The sequence below is a fragment of the Homo sapiens genome, chromosome 8 (assembly GCF_000001405.40).
Source record: "Homo sapiens chromosome 8, GRCh38.p14 Primary Assembly".
Lineage (NCBI taxonomy): Eukaryota > Metazoa > Chordata > Mammalia > Primates > Hominidae > Homo > Homo sapiens.
The window spans coordinates 112,233,182-112,246,896 of record NC_000008.11 but is presented as its reverse complement, the minus strand read 5'-3'; the positions used below and the strand labels follow the sequence as shown (position 1 = coordinate 112,246,896).

Here is a 13,715-nt window from a genome sequence, read left to right as displayed (position 1 = left end):
TATTATATGCATATAATTTTATTACTGTATCATAAACCCATGGCCATTGGGAAGCACTCTCTAAGTAAGTCAGAAAGCACAAGGCACAATTTTGTTCTTTTTGTAAAGACCTTATGTTTAGTTTTGCCACCTGGTAATTTTAGGTAATGATTAGGTTTTAGTTTATAGATCTGCATCTATCAGTCTGAAGTAATCTAAAATACCCGAGGAACCAATCTAACAGCTTCTAATTTTTAAAAATCGCTTGTGAAAATATTATCTGAGAATCTGGGGAAACTAACAACATCTATGAAAGGAAATATTCATGGGCACTTGGCCAAAAATTTGAGAACAATTTTAGAATTTCCTTTATATGTTCTCTGATCCTCAGTGGAGAGCACTTGCTATACAGATTAAATAAGAACAAAGCCTGGGGCCACTAAATAACTTTTTCTGACATACAATTAGAAATGAATTCTAGCTGGTCAGCTATTTGGCTTTTCTTTCTCTCCAGTTGCCTTTTAAAAAAATCTCTTCCCTTATCTTTTCAATTGTGTTTCTTGGTGAAAAATGGAAAAAAGTAAGCTGGAGTGGAAACACTTATTAGGATGGTATCTAGCTTTTAGGATTTGCTGAAGCATACACAAGCCCTGTGAATTTACTCTATCCCTGTTCAGAACCATCCAAATGATTGTGGGGGCACCTAGGGACCAGCAGCTTACTTTAAAGCAGGAGAACACTCCACAGAGATGCCATGTTATGTGCCTTGTTGGCTTATATTTAAATATGGAAAATTCCTTAAAGGAGAATTCCTCAGAATGTGTACTTTAAAACAGCTGTGCGGGCTGTAACTAGGTATTTCACAGTAAACCATTGTTCTTTGATGTCCTCTAGTTGGGATATGATAGTTTAAATAAAGTTAAACAGCGTCTGTCACTGTGAAGCATCTCAAAGTTTCTAATGTGTCCATAACATAGGGCTTAAGATGGCAGTAGAGACAGACTGTAGTTTTCCTTATCAATACTTACTGCATGAGGATTACATTTCACTAACTGCAATATATTAAATATAAACCATTTAGGCCAGGCACGGTGGCTCACGCCTATAATCCTAGCACTTTGGGAGGCCGAGGTGGGCAGATCACTTGAGGTCAGGAGTTCGAGACCAGCCTGGTCACCATGGCGAAACCCATCTCTATTAAAAATATAAAAAATTAGCTGGGTGTGGTGGCAGGTGCCTGTAGTCCCAGCTCCTCAGGAGTCTGAGGCAGGAGAATCGCTTGAACCCCGGAGGTGGAGGCTGCAGTGAACTGAGATTATGACACTGTGCTCCAGCCTGGGCAGCGGAGTGAAACTCTTATCTCAAAAACAACAAAATCAAAAACAAAAAACCATTTAACACAATGTTTAGCACACGGAGTAAAAAAATGTTAGCTATTATTTATACTGTTATGGACCTCCATTAAGAAACAAATGAAAAATATTGTTTTTTTTTATTTATCCACAGAACACTTTTTTCAGAGATCACTTTTATGGATGTATATCTATGAACAAATAATTAAAAAATGCTATCTGTTTCAGGGGAAAAATTTCTTGTAGCATTTATCTCTGACGGAGAAAGGAATGGTCTTTATAAGACATAAAACCGATGAAATAAGGGGAAGATATGGTGTAATCAAGGTAGAGAATTAGGAGTGGAAGGAAACATGGAGAAAAGGAGAGAGAGTTAGGTGAACAAAATGATACTTCTAGCATATGGATCCAAATATGGCCTGAAAATTCCATATGTAAAAAAATTATTAAAATGTACTTTTATTGGGAAGTATTAATACCAGAGCAATATAATTAGCTGTGGTTTTATTTAACAATAGAAAATAGATTTTTAATTTAAAATAAATATAATACATTTAAAATTTATAAAATAATATTTTCTAAACTCATATAGAAAACCTGAGCTTGACAAACATTAAAAGGTATCTTACCACAGAACTTCACAGATCCTTTAAAATGCTGGTTTTTGTGACTCTCTGGAATGTGTGACTCTCTAAAATGGTAAAGCATACATTTCTGAGCTTAGTTGTTGACAATGTCTTTTTTTTTCTCAATTTATTTAACATCTATTAACATCTACTAGTGTTCCACAAATGGTGGATTAGGAAATGCTAAAGTATGAAATCAATAAGTATATTTGCATTGAAACATTTTTGTGATTTATTAGAATAATTATTCTAAGATATATGTATATAAAGGCATTGAAGTATATCTGAAATATATTGTGACTCCTGTCTCAAATTTTTCTTAACATATCTATAGAAAATTTACATTGTTCTCTTTTCTTAATATAGCCCACAGCTGTAAACAGCCAGAAACTCCTGCTCATGCAAATGTCGTAGGGATGGACCTTCCATCTCATGGGTATACACTGATTTATACCTGTCAGCCTGGCTTCTTCTTAGCAGGTGGAACAGAACATAGAGTGTGTAGATCCGATAACACCTGGACTGGAAAAGTTCCCATTTGTGAAGGTAAGTTTTCTCTATAGAATCTTTTTAACACAAGAGATTGCACTATTGCTTTCCTTTGCTCCAGACAAAAACTCAACTCAAATTAGCATAGGAACAAGGGAAATTTGTTGGCTAACTCCAAGTCTAGGAGTAATGTAAACACTTCTGGATCCAGAGGCATATAAATTTTATGAGTCTATTCATAGCTTTTTTCCCATGAGAATGTTACTTCTTGCCTTAATTCTATCTTCAAATTCTCTCTTCAGGTAGGTATATTATTTTTCTAGGGCTTTTATAACAAAGTACCATAGGCTGGGCGGCTTAACATAATAGGAATTTATTCCTTCACAATTCTGAAGTCCAGAAGTCCAAAATTAAGGTGTCAGCAGGACCTTGTGCCCTCTGTAAGCTCTAAGCAGAAACCATTCTTTGCCTCTTCCTATCTTCTCATAGCTTCTGACAACCCTGGGTATTCATTGGCTCCTAGCCTTACTCCAATTTCTACCCCATTTCAATATGGCCTTCTTTTCTGTGTATCTTTGTGTGGCCTCTCCTCTTCTTATGAGGATACCAGTCCTTGTATTTGGGGTTCAGCCTAAAATCAGGATTGTTTTATCCCAAGATCTCTAGTTAATTACATTTGCAAAGACCTTCTTTCCAAATAAGGTCATAGAGGTACCAGGTGAACATAAATTATGTGGGTACACTATTCATTAGAGTACGGAGAATTGCTACCCTAATGCCTAGATTACTCTGCCAGAGTAACCCTAGTAGAAAGAGTCCTTCCCAAAGTTTTGGTCAGGAAAGCACTATCTGGGATTCTATTTGCCACAATTTTGAATGGATCCCATCTCCAAATCCATTACTCAGCCAGGGTGATATGGTATTAATATTTGGACCAGATCTGGGTGAAGTGTCCACCGATTGCTGCTCGGTCAGGACAATTTCCATTTGGAAAAGGGTTATAATGCCAGAAGAAGGAGTAAAGGAACTTTTTCTAGTGTTTTTGGTAAGGTCATCAACAAAATCCATTTCCTTATATCCAAAAAACCTATTTGTAAGACCTAATGTTTTATCTAATGCAGCTGTCATAAATGACAATTACTTTCTTTTACTTGAAATGTTTTCATTTTCTTTATCAGAACATTCCTCTGCTATTTTTCTTTCTATTTTTTTTTTATGATTGAAATCGCTGTAGTATGAGAAGATCTTATTCTTTGGTTTGTTTGCTTGTAATTATCTGCTTCCACTCTCCTGTCCTCCTATCTACCCCTCTTCAACTAGAATATAATCTCATGAGAGACTTCACTCAAAGTGTTTACAACTGTAATTTTAACACAAATCAGTACCTTACATGTGAAAAGCATTCAATAAATATTTGTTGAATGAGTAAATGTTTTACTCCCTCCTAATTCTAAGTATCCATTCTCCATTTCCTTTATACACTGATTGTTTTCTACTTATGATTTTCTAAAGATGCAGTACTTAGCCATCTCTTGTTTTCATCTCGTATTCACTTTTAGGTGATGTCATTCAAACCAGTGGCTTCAACAGCTGTCCTTATGTAGATTACTTACAAACTAATATTTCTGGCTTATTTATCTTATTTTAGCTTCACACTTACATATTCAATTGTTTGCTTGATATCTCTAGTGAAATTCTTCAGTGGCATTTCAGTACTCAATACATGCAAAACTAAACTCATACATTTCTTTTATCTATATAGTTTCCCTTTGGTATTCCCTATCTCAGTGATATTACCATCCTATAGTTACACATGAGATCTAGTAATCTCCTTAGATATTTTCCTATCCCTCCAAGTCACCACAATTTCAATAGCTTTTTCGTCTGTTCCCCTTTTTGGTTTATTGTCACTGCTATCATACTCTAACTCAGTATTATCTCTACTGGGACTACTGCAGTGTCTCTCAACTTCTCTAGCCATATCCGTACTTGCTGCTTTCCAAAGTTTTCTTGGTTTTGCAGCCAGAGCAACATTTGCCGAAATCACATCCCTTTACAGTCTTTTAAGACATTACATTGTTCTTAGGATACATAGTTTACAAGGCATTCATGTCATAGCTCCTATAATATTCCAGTCACTTCTACATCCTACATGATTTATTTGGTTTTGGACTACCTTTGGTTTTGGTTTAAAACCTGGAAGATTTCACCTTTAAGTCTATCCAATTTCTGGTGACATCTTTAATTATCTCAACAAACTTTGATTTTTAAATGTAAACCCTACCCAAATAGTTTTTGCTTTCTGTCAACAAAAACAACTCTCAGCTCTCAGCTTCCATGTTGGAGGCAACTGTCTCCACTTTGGCTTATGCCTCTAAAATAAGAAATGACATCCCAAGATGATAAAGCAACACAAATCTGCCCCTTGTGCCAATAGACTGTAATGGGAATAATTATTGAAATCATTAGTTGCATAACGAGTGCTGAGTAGGGGACTGAGATGTTGTGATGAACGGAACATTTTAGAGAAAACTATCTATGTGAAATGTCAGAGAATAAAATGGACAGTGCATCACACTGTGTGTGTGTGTGCGTGTGTGTGTGTGCGCATGTGTATGTAATTAATTGCATCAACTTTTGTAAACACCTTTATTTCTTTTCATAGCTGGTTCTAAAATATTGGTGAAAGATCCTAGACCTGCACTGGGAACACCCAGCCCAAAGCTAAGTGGTTAGTAATGTCATTTGTTTTTCTAGAGTTCATTATTTCTAAAAATGGTCTACTATTTTCTTGGCATAGTAACTGTGTATTTAAAAAATATATTTAAGTATAAAAAACTATGACTGTCTTGAATTTGATAATTCACAAGATGTTGAATTTAAAGCAATGTAATACAGTGACATGTTAGTATTCCAAAAGTATTGTTCATAGTTCCGTCTGCTAAAAATATTAAAATTTCCCTTGAAGAGTATCTGTAAATGACTATAGCATAATGGCAATACTGTCATTTAAAATATTAAAATAAAAATGAGGTCTTATTTAACATTTTTAAATGTATATGTTTTTAAAAGGATCCAAATACACTTGGTATGAGAATAAAGATCGGTAACTTCTAGAAATTGACTAGTTTATTTTCAGTTATTTGATTTAAAAAGCAAATTAGAAAACCTAGCACAATCAATAAAAACATAAACTTTAAAGCCCTACAACCTTGATGTATCTCATTTTATATACTCTCTGACTTGTGACCTTGGAAAAATTATTTTATATATCTGAATCTCCATATCTTTTTCTATCCAAAAGAAATAATAATTAAATAATTATATAATAAGCTTCATGCAAATGAAGTGCAGAGTGCGTAGCCCATAGTAAGGGCTCAATATATGAATTGCTTTGTATTAGTTCGTTTTCACACTCCTGATAAAGATATACCCAAGACTAGGCAATTTAAAAAGAAAGAGGTTTAAGTGGACTTACAGTTCCACATGGCTGGGGAAGCCTCACTATCATGGAGGAAGACAAGTAGGAGCAAGTCCTGTCTTACATGGATGCGAGCGGGCAAAGAGATAATGAGGAAGATGCAAAAGCAGAAGCCCCTGATAAAACCACCAGATCTTGTGAGACTTATTTACTACCAAGAGAACAGTATCCATGATTCAATTATCTCCCACCAGATTCCTCCTACAACATGTGGGAATTATGGGAGTACAATTCAAGTTGAGATTTGGGTGGGGACACAGAGCCAAACCATATCATGCTTATTCAGTATTAGTATTTTGTTTATGTGATACTATTTAAAAGCTGCCAATAAGAGCATAATATCTGATCTTCACCTTGGAAACAGATTTCTCTCAGTTGTATTGGGCCAAGAACTACATTAGGATCTAATTTTAGTGAGGTTTAGAAGTGCTCCATGTACATGCTATAAAAGTGGAGGGACCACCAAGCTCTGTGACTTATACTGATACATTCAACACTTGTCGAAAACATGCTGAATGCCATTGAGGCAATCAAAGAATACATAAAAGTAAGGCAGAGTTTGTTTGCAATGGAGTCAGAAAACCATAATTGTCCATCAATGCCCCAAATTTTCCAAGGGAAATGCTTGATTTGGGACCAGGTGGAAACTCTGAATAATAGCTCCAGCACATCAAATCTGTAAAAAAATTGCTCATATATTAAATAATAAATTAAATTAAACAAATTTTAAAACGCAAAGTTAGTCTTCATAGCTCATATCTGACTAGGATGTGATTAAAGTTCAATGAGGAAATATGTAATTTAAAACATTCCTGTATGTTTGGAAATTCAGAGCAAAATTAGTAATAATAAATAACTCATGAATTAAAGAAGACATCAACACAGAAATATATTAGAATGTAGTTATTTTGAAAAATTGAAATATCAAAGCTTGAGGGCTATAAGAAAAGGAAAGTTAAGAGGGAAATTTGTAGCCTTAAATCCTTACATTATTGAAAAGAAAAGCCTCAGAATTAATTAGTTGTGTCCCTATTAAGAGAATATTAAGACTGTAACAGAGTAGCAGGGCAGAAATCAATGTAATAATAAAAACAGGCAACCGCCCAAAACAGTAGAAGAATCTCAACAGAACCAAATGTCGTTCTTTTCAGAAACAAAGTAGAAAAATTTCTGGTAAAAATAAGATAACAAAGAAAATGTGAGCATAACTACATAGAGAGTAGATTAATGAAATTCAAAATATGTTAAGGGAAAACTATCAATAATTATCAACATTTAAAAACATTTACACAGAGCAGACAAATTACTAGAACACTACATCTTACTAGAACTAATAAAAGAAAATGTGAATAATTTTATAGCAAATAAAGAACTGGTTAAAATTATTTCCACAAAGAAAATGAGGTCTATGTGGCCCTACTGGTAAGTTCCACCACATTTTAAAGGAACAGAATGGATCTTTCAAGTTTTATAAAAACTCTTCTGGACAATAAAATTCATTCTCTAGGCTCAACATAGCTCTAATAACTCGGATAAAGATATTATAAAGGGAGAAAAATTTCAGGCCCATTTGACTCAGGATTATAAATGAGAAAATCTTACATAAAATCTTAGCAAATCAAATTCAACATTGTAGTAAAGATAACCCATGCGAAAAGGAAAAGTTTAGCTGAATTAAATTTAAAGGAGTTTAATTGAACAATGAACAATTTGTGAATCAAGCAGACCCCAGAATCACAGCAGATTCAGAGAGACTCCAGGGATGCCTCATGGTCAGAACAAATTTATACACAAAGAAAGGGAAGTGACGTACAGAAATCAGAAGGGAGAGACAGAAACAACTAGATTGGTTACAGTTCTGTGTTTGCCTTATTTGAACACATTTTGAACACTCAGCAGTGTACGAGTAGTAGAAGTACAGCTGCTGGGATTGGCCAAGGCTCAGCTATTGTTACAGGTGCATACTCCTGAATTAGGTTTTCAATCTTGTCTACCTATTAAGTTAGATTGAAGTTCATTACAAGGACTCAAATATAGAACTATGGAGTCCTTCTCAGGCCATATTTAGTTTGCTTTAACACCCATCAGAACCAATCTGGATTCTTCATAGCTATGCAGGGATGTTTTAGTTTTAAATAATCCTTAAAAGTAATGTATCACATTAAGAGATTAAAGTGCAAAAAATTATGATAATTGCAATATTTGCAAAGAAAGTATTTGATCAAATTCAACACTTATAATTTTTAAATTATAAATTTAAAAATTTATAATTTTTAAAAATTCTTAACAAACTCTAAATTTTAGTAAAATTATTTATAAAAATTATATGGCAAATAGCATGTTATATGAGAAAACATTCAGCAGTATTTCATTTAAAATCATGAATGAGACACAGTGATTACATTACTCCAAAGTGATAAGAATGGAAGTTGGCAGTGGTATCAAAGTAAGGAGCTATATTGCTTATAAATTATCATGGAAATAGAAATTTTAGTTGTTACTGAAATATTCAGTAAAAACTCAACTCTTAGGGTATTTTTATGCTGATCTGCCACAGTGGTTTTGCTTTCTTGGTTTAATAGAATTCAGGGAATACACAGCTTGTCATGGCAATCCCTGTGATCTGACTGGTAAGAAGTGTGATACATGCATATATCAGATGAAAAATCATCAATAACTTGTTAGACAAATTAAAAAAAAGGACTTTTTCCTAAATCCACTTCATTCAGTCATTCATCCAAAGAGGGTTGGGTACCTTGAATAGCTGATTTCTAGGGATGTGCTGTGCTGTGAGGTATAGGATTAATCCTATACCTCAGCTTCTCTCAGCTGCTGCCCAGGAGCTGTGTAGACTTTGACATAACCAATTTATATAACTTTAAATTACATAAATAATTTATATAAATACAATAAGTCTTTTTGGCTAGTATCTAAAATAGTGTTTTTTCTTTAGATGAAAATTTTATAAGCTTTAGAATGTTCTTTGATTCTACCACAATTCATCTCTCATCCTTGAGAGTCCAACAATACTAGTGACAATTTCTAAAAATACCTGTATACCTCAAAGCTATCAATATGGTGCAGCCCTGTTCTTCTTCAGGAGCACCTGTTATTAGAAGAACTAAACTCAGTATTCTGTAAGGGGGAACACAGAAGCACTGTCTCATGATAATTTTGCAGGACCTTTCTCTTTGCTATTCCTCTTAAAAATCTATTCCCACTGCTGGAAAAAAAGCAGGCCTCTTGGGACTTGGGTATAGTTTTACTGCCATGGTGCTGTGAAATCATTTTATTTTCCTTCAGAAAGAAATATATTGCATAAAAGACCAAAGATAAGTGAAGTTTATATTTACCTGGGTTCTAAAAATAAACCTAATATCTTTAACTGGTGTTTTCTATTTCTCTCTTCTCGATAACATATGAACAAATCTAGATTATTACAATGTGGATTTATTCTAAAAAATGGAAACATTTTTATATGAAGAATTAATTTTGTAACACACATTCAACATTATTGTGTATTAGCAATACATCATTATTCAATAAACTAATACTCTATTTAATGCTTATATTTATATGGCATTGTAAAATTAATGTGTGGTATATTTAATCTATTCACAGTTCCTGATGATGTATTTGCCCAAAATTATATATGGAAAGGCTCTTACAATTTCAAAGGAAGGAAACAACCCATGACCTTAACAGTTACTAGTTTCAATGCTTCCACTGGGAGAGTTAACGCAACACTGAGCAATAGCAACATGGAGCTGCTACTTTCAGGTATCGCAATAAAAACAGCAGCGAAATATACCTTCATGACTTTATTTCTATTATGATTTCATCATTTTTAGTAATGCTTTTTATATGGTGAAATGTTTATTTTGATACATTTGCTTTTGATGACATTCATATTCACTCAGAACCAAGGTTTTCTGGTTTTTGGATTGATGAATGAATATTACTACAGAAATATAAAACTAGTTTTAAAATAAGTTATTTAAATAATTTTTGGTAGCTAGAATTAGATGTCATATATTAGATCATAACATTTAATTTAGGTATGAATACAACTAAATCTTTCTCTATTCTCATAAAACCACGGAGACCAAATCATTGATTTCTCAACTATTCTGTGGCCACAAAGCTATTTCTTCAAATGACCATGTTTATAGATGGACATCCAATATTTAAGACAAATAAAGATAGAGCTACACTTGTTTAAATAGGCATAAGGGAACCAAAACCTGGTCAATCTTCTTAAGTTTCTGTTTTCTGTGTCCAGTACACACATCTCTCATTATCTTTGATTGCACTGGTTTTCCTAACACTCAGATATTCTCTCACAAGTCACCTCCTCAAGCAATACTCCCAATGACCTGACCTAAAGGAAACTTTGTATTACAAATGCTGTCAGACATATTCTTAGTTTTAGGCAGCCTTACCCTGTTTTTTTCTTTACAATATTTGAAATTATATTTGTTATATTTATTATTCATTATGTGTCTATATTCTAACAATATAAAATAAATTCTAAGAAAGCTCTTTGCCTTCCAACTTAATATTGTATTCCCAGAGGCTAGCAGAACATCTGAAACAAAATAGGCCTCAATAAATATTTTCAAATTAATGCATTTGAATTATAATTGCTCTCATTTTTTAAAATGAGACACTATGATATTTGATATTGCAAATATGAAATATAAACTGTAAAATTCTTGTCTGTATAGATATAACCCATATAAATATTAATAATGAAATAATTTGTGCTGTAAAAAATTGAAAATAAAATTATATTCATTGATTTTATAAATTTTAGAATGAATTTTGAGTGTCATTCTTATTATTGAATGATCCTCCGTTAAACACAAAGTAAAAATATTAGAAGTTAATATGTAGTATAATTTTAAAAATACATATAATTACCTTATATTAATCGAAAGAAACTTTAAATGAATGAGACAAATACATTTAAATTGTGACTAATGCTTTATTTAACTTTGATGTGTTAACAAAGTTTTTCTTTATTTTCTATAAAAGAGCCCAAAATAAATGTATACTTATTCTAATCTAGATAAACTCAAGAGTTTTCTATATATATGGAAAGACAAAGAATTAGATTAATTCGCTTTCACTTACTGTCTCCATATAAACCAATTGTAGCAATTTTTCAGCAATATTATCGATTACTTTTATATCTTCCTCCTATTGATTATAATTTACCTTAGCACCTATGTCTCATTATCTTTTCATTTCCTGCATATTATGGTGCCCTATTACATAGGTGAACAATTAAGTTAGAATGAATGAATACAGTCAAGTTTTAAACAACAGTTAATCAGATTTTTTCTTAGATCCTATTTTCTGTTATTTCCCTAAACAATTTTTTCCCTCCAGCTTACAGCTACCCTTAGAACACTTACCATGTAAAAATCATTGTATATATTTTTGCTTCTCTTCCTTATGTCATTGCTTGTATTTACCTTCCCAAACTAAAAATTCTACTTTATTTTTAAGAACCAGTTCAAATGCTGTTTTTTGTTGTTGTTGTTGTTGTTTTGTTTTTGTTTTTTGTTTTTTGTTTTTTTTGAGGCAGAGTCTTGCTCTGTCACCCAGTCTGGAGTGCAGTGGTGCCATCTCGGCTCACTGCAACCTCCGGCTCCTGGGCTCAAGCCATCCTCCCACCTCAGCCTCCTGAGCAGCTGGGACTACAGGTGCGTGCCACCATGGCTGGCTAATTTTTTAAAGTATTTTTTGTAAAGATGGGGTTTTGCCATGTTGCTTAGGCTGGTCTGGAACTCCTAAACTCATACTTTTGGATTCAGACCATCTGTCCGCCTTGGCTTCCCAAAGTGCTGGGATTACAGGTATGAGCCACCATGCTTGGCCCTCCAGTGCTTTTCCTTGATAACTATTCCTTGATCATTCTAGTGTGAAATGATCTCTCTCTGGCTTTTAATTTATCACATTCTCTCATGTGTTTGATTTAGCTGTGTACCTTACTTATACCTCCTACTTTGTTGGAAATTATTAAAAACAGGAACAATATATATTCATCTTTGTGGCTCAAGCAGCACCTAGAATACTGTTTTTCACTGAGTTGGCAACTAATTTGTTATTAAGGAAAATATCAGGAATTTTAACACTGGATTTGTATGCTTGAAAATTTTAGAATCTGATTGTGGGAAGAAATCATTTTGTTTTCAATATCATGGAATGATGTTATTAAGAACACTAGTGCTTAATTGTGATAGCATAGGTAATTTAAACCCCACAACTAAGAAATAAGTTGAGGATTTCAGAAGACAGATAAATCAATGTATATTACAGGATTTGCAAAGAGCATTATAGGTTAAGCCATCCTTGACTTGCCCTTGTTTTATTTCTTTTTTTAATTACATATCTTACATAATCTATTTAAGGAATGATAGATAATAAAATGAAGTATAACTATTTACAAAGTTAAGTAGACTAAAATGTCCTTGCATTTTACAGGGGTATATAAAAGCCAGGAAGCTCGCCTAATGTTACGCATATATCTTATTAAAGTACCTGCTCATGCTTCTGTGAAGAAAATGAAGGAAGAAAATTGGGCAATGGATGGCTTTGTAAGTATAGTTATTTTAACATCTGCTGCTGATTTTAATGATAAATTTGTAGCTTGTCCAGGAAAGGAGAGTTTTCTAAATTTAGCTAATTATGAATACATACACATACATATATATTAGTAAATATAAATATTTAGTATTCTAAAGTACAAGCCTAGGAATACTGGATTCTGATGTGTTTTGCTTACTTTTGTCGTGTGTGTGTGTGTGTGGTGGTGGGGTGTACGTGTGTGTGGGGGAGGGTATGGGTGGATGTGGGTGTGTGTATGTGTGTGTGTGTGTGCTGATCTGCATTTAGTTTTTCACTGATTTCATCAAATATATTCCATCTACAATCAGCACTATGATAAATAAATCTGGATAAAATATAATTCAATCTTTGGAACCACTACTACTTAAGGAATATGCAACATATTTACAAAGTACATCAGAAAATTAAATACTCCCATTATATTGAAGCATGAATTTAGACTATTTTATATATAAAGTCCATGAAAAGGAACTTATGTGAGCTGCTTCCTATGGGGAGATAGTTACTGTAGCTTCACCATGGAGTCACTCCTATTAAGTGATTTATGTGAGTGGAGTGTTAAGACTGACAGTGGAAAACACAAGGGCCAGGAGTCTTTGCTGAAGAGTCAGCATGAGAGATCTGACTGTATCCTCTCAAGTACCAAGCCTTTTTTTCATAAGGAAAACTTAATGGGAAAGAAGATACTGTAGTGGATCATAGGCTGCTATGTAGTAGCCTTCGATAAGTTTCAATAAGCCTTCAATAAGTTCAAGAAGCCTACCATCTAGTAGGCTTCAATAAGTTTGGTTCCTGAGGAAAAAAAGTGTTTATCCTATTTCTGCATTCTGTATTCATGGAGTTGGGAACTGAGTCAAATCTTCAATGCACTCAGATTGTTTAATTGTATTATTTTATGTAGGAAACAAAGTGAATTGATTCATTAAAATGATGGAGTTTGAGCTTCTTCTTAGAAGTACTTTATTTTTTAGGGTGGCCATACCCAGAGTATAATGTCTGATAATAAAGAATAAATCAGTTGTTGTGAAATGTCAGACTTGCATGGGTGGTTTGGTATCCTTTGCTTTTTAGAGTGAGGACTCAAGATTCTTACAACTTTTATGATAATGTTCATGACTTAGGTAACTAATTGCCATTAATTAACACAAACTT

General features: G+C 33.4%; 1 protein-coding gene across 10 annotated transcripts in view; it reads left to right on the top strand.

The window, feature by feature from the left end:
• CSMD3 (CUB and Sushi multiple domains 3) overlaps positions 1-13,715 on the top strand; it is a 1,214,012-nt gene that overhangs the window by 1,190,043 nt on the left and 10,254 nt on the right. For all 10 annotated transcript variants that reach the window (NM_001363185.1, XM_017013010.2, NM_052900.3 and 7 more), the window contains 4 exons: positions 2,324-2,503; positions 5,112-5,177; positions 9,549-9,707; positions 12,420-12,532. In NM_001363185.1, the coding sequence (NP_001350114.1) occupies positions 2,324-2,503; positions 5,112-5,177; positions 9,549-9,707; positions 12,420-12,532 (518 nt within the window). The remainder of the gene's footprint in view (positions 1-2,323; positions 2,504-5,111; positions 5,178-9,548; positions 9,708-12,419; positions 12,533-13,715) is intronic.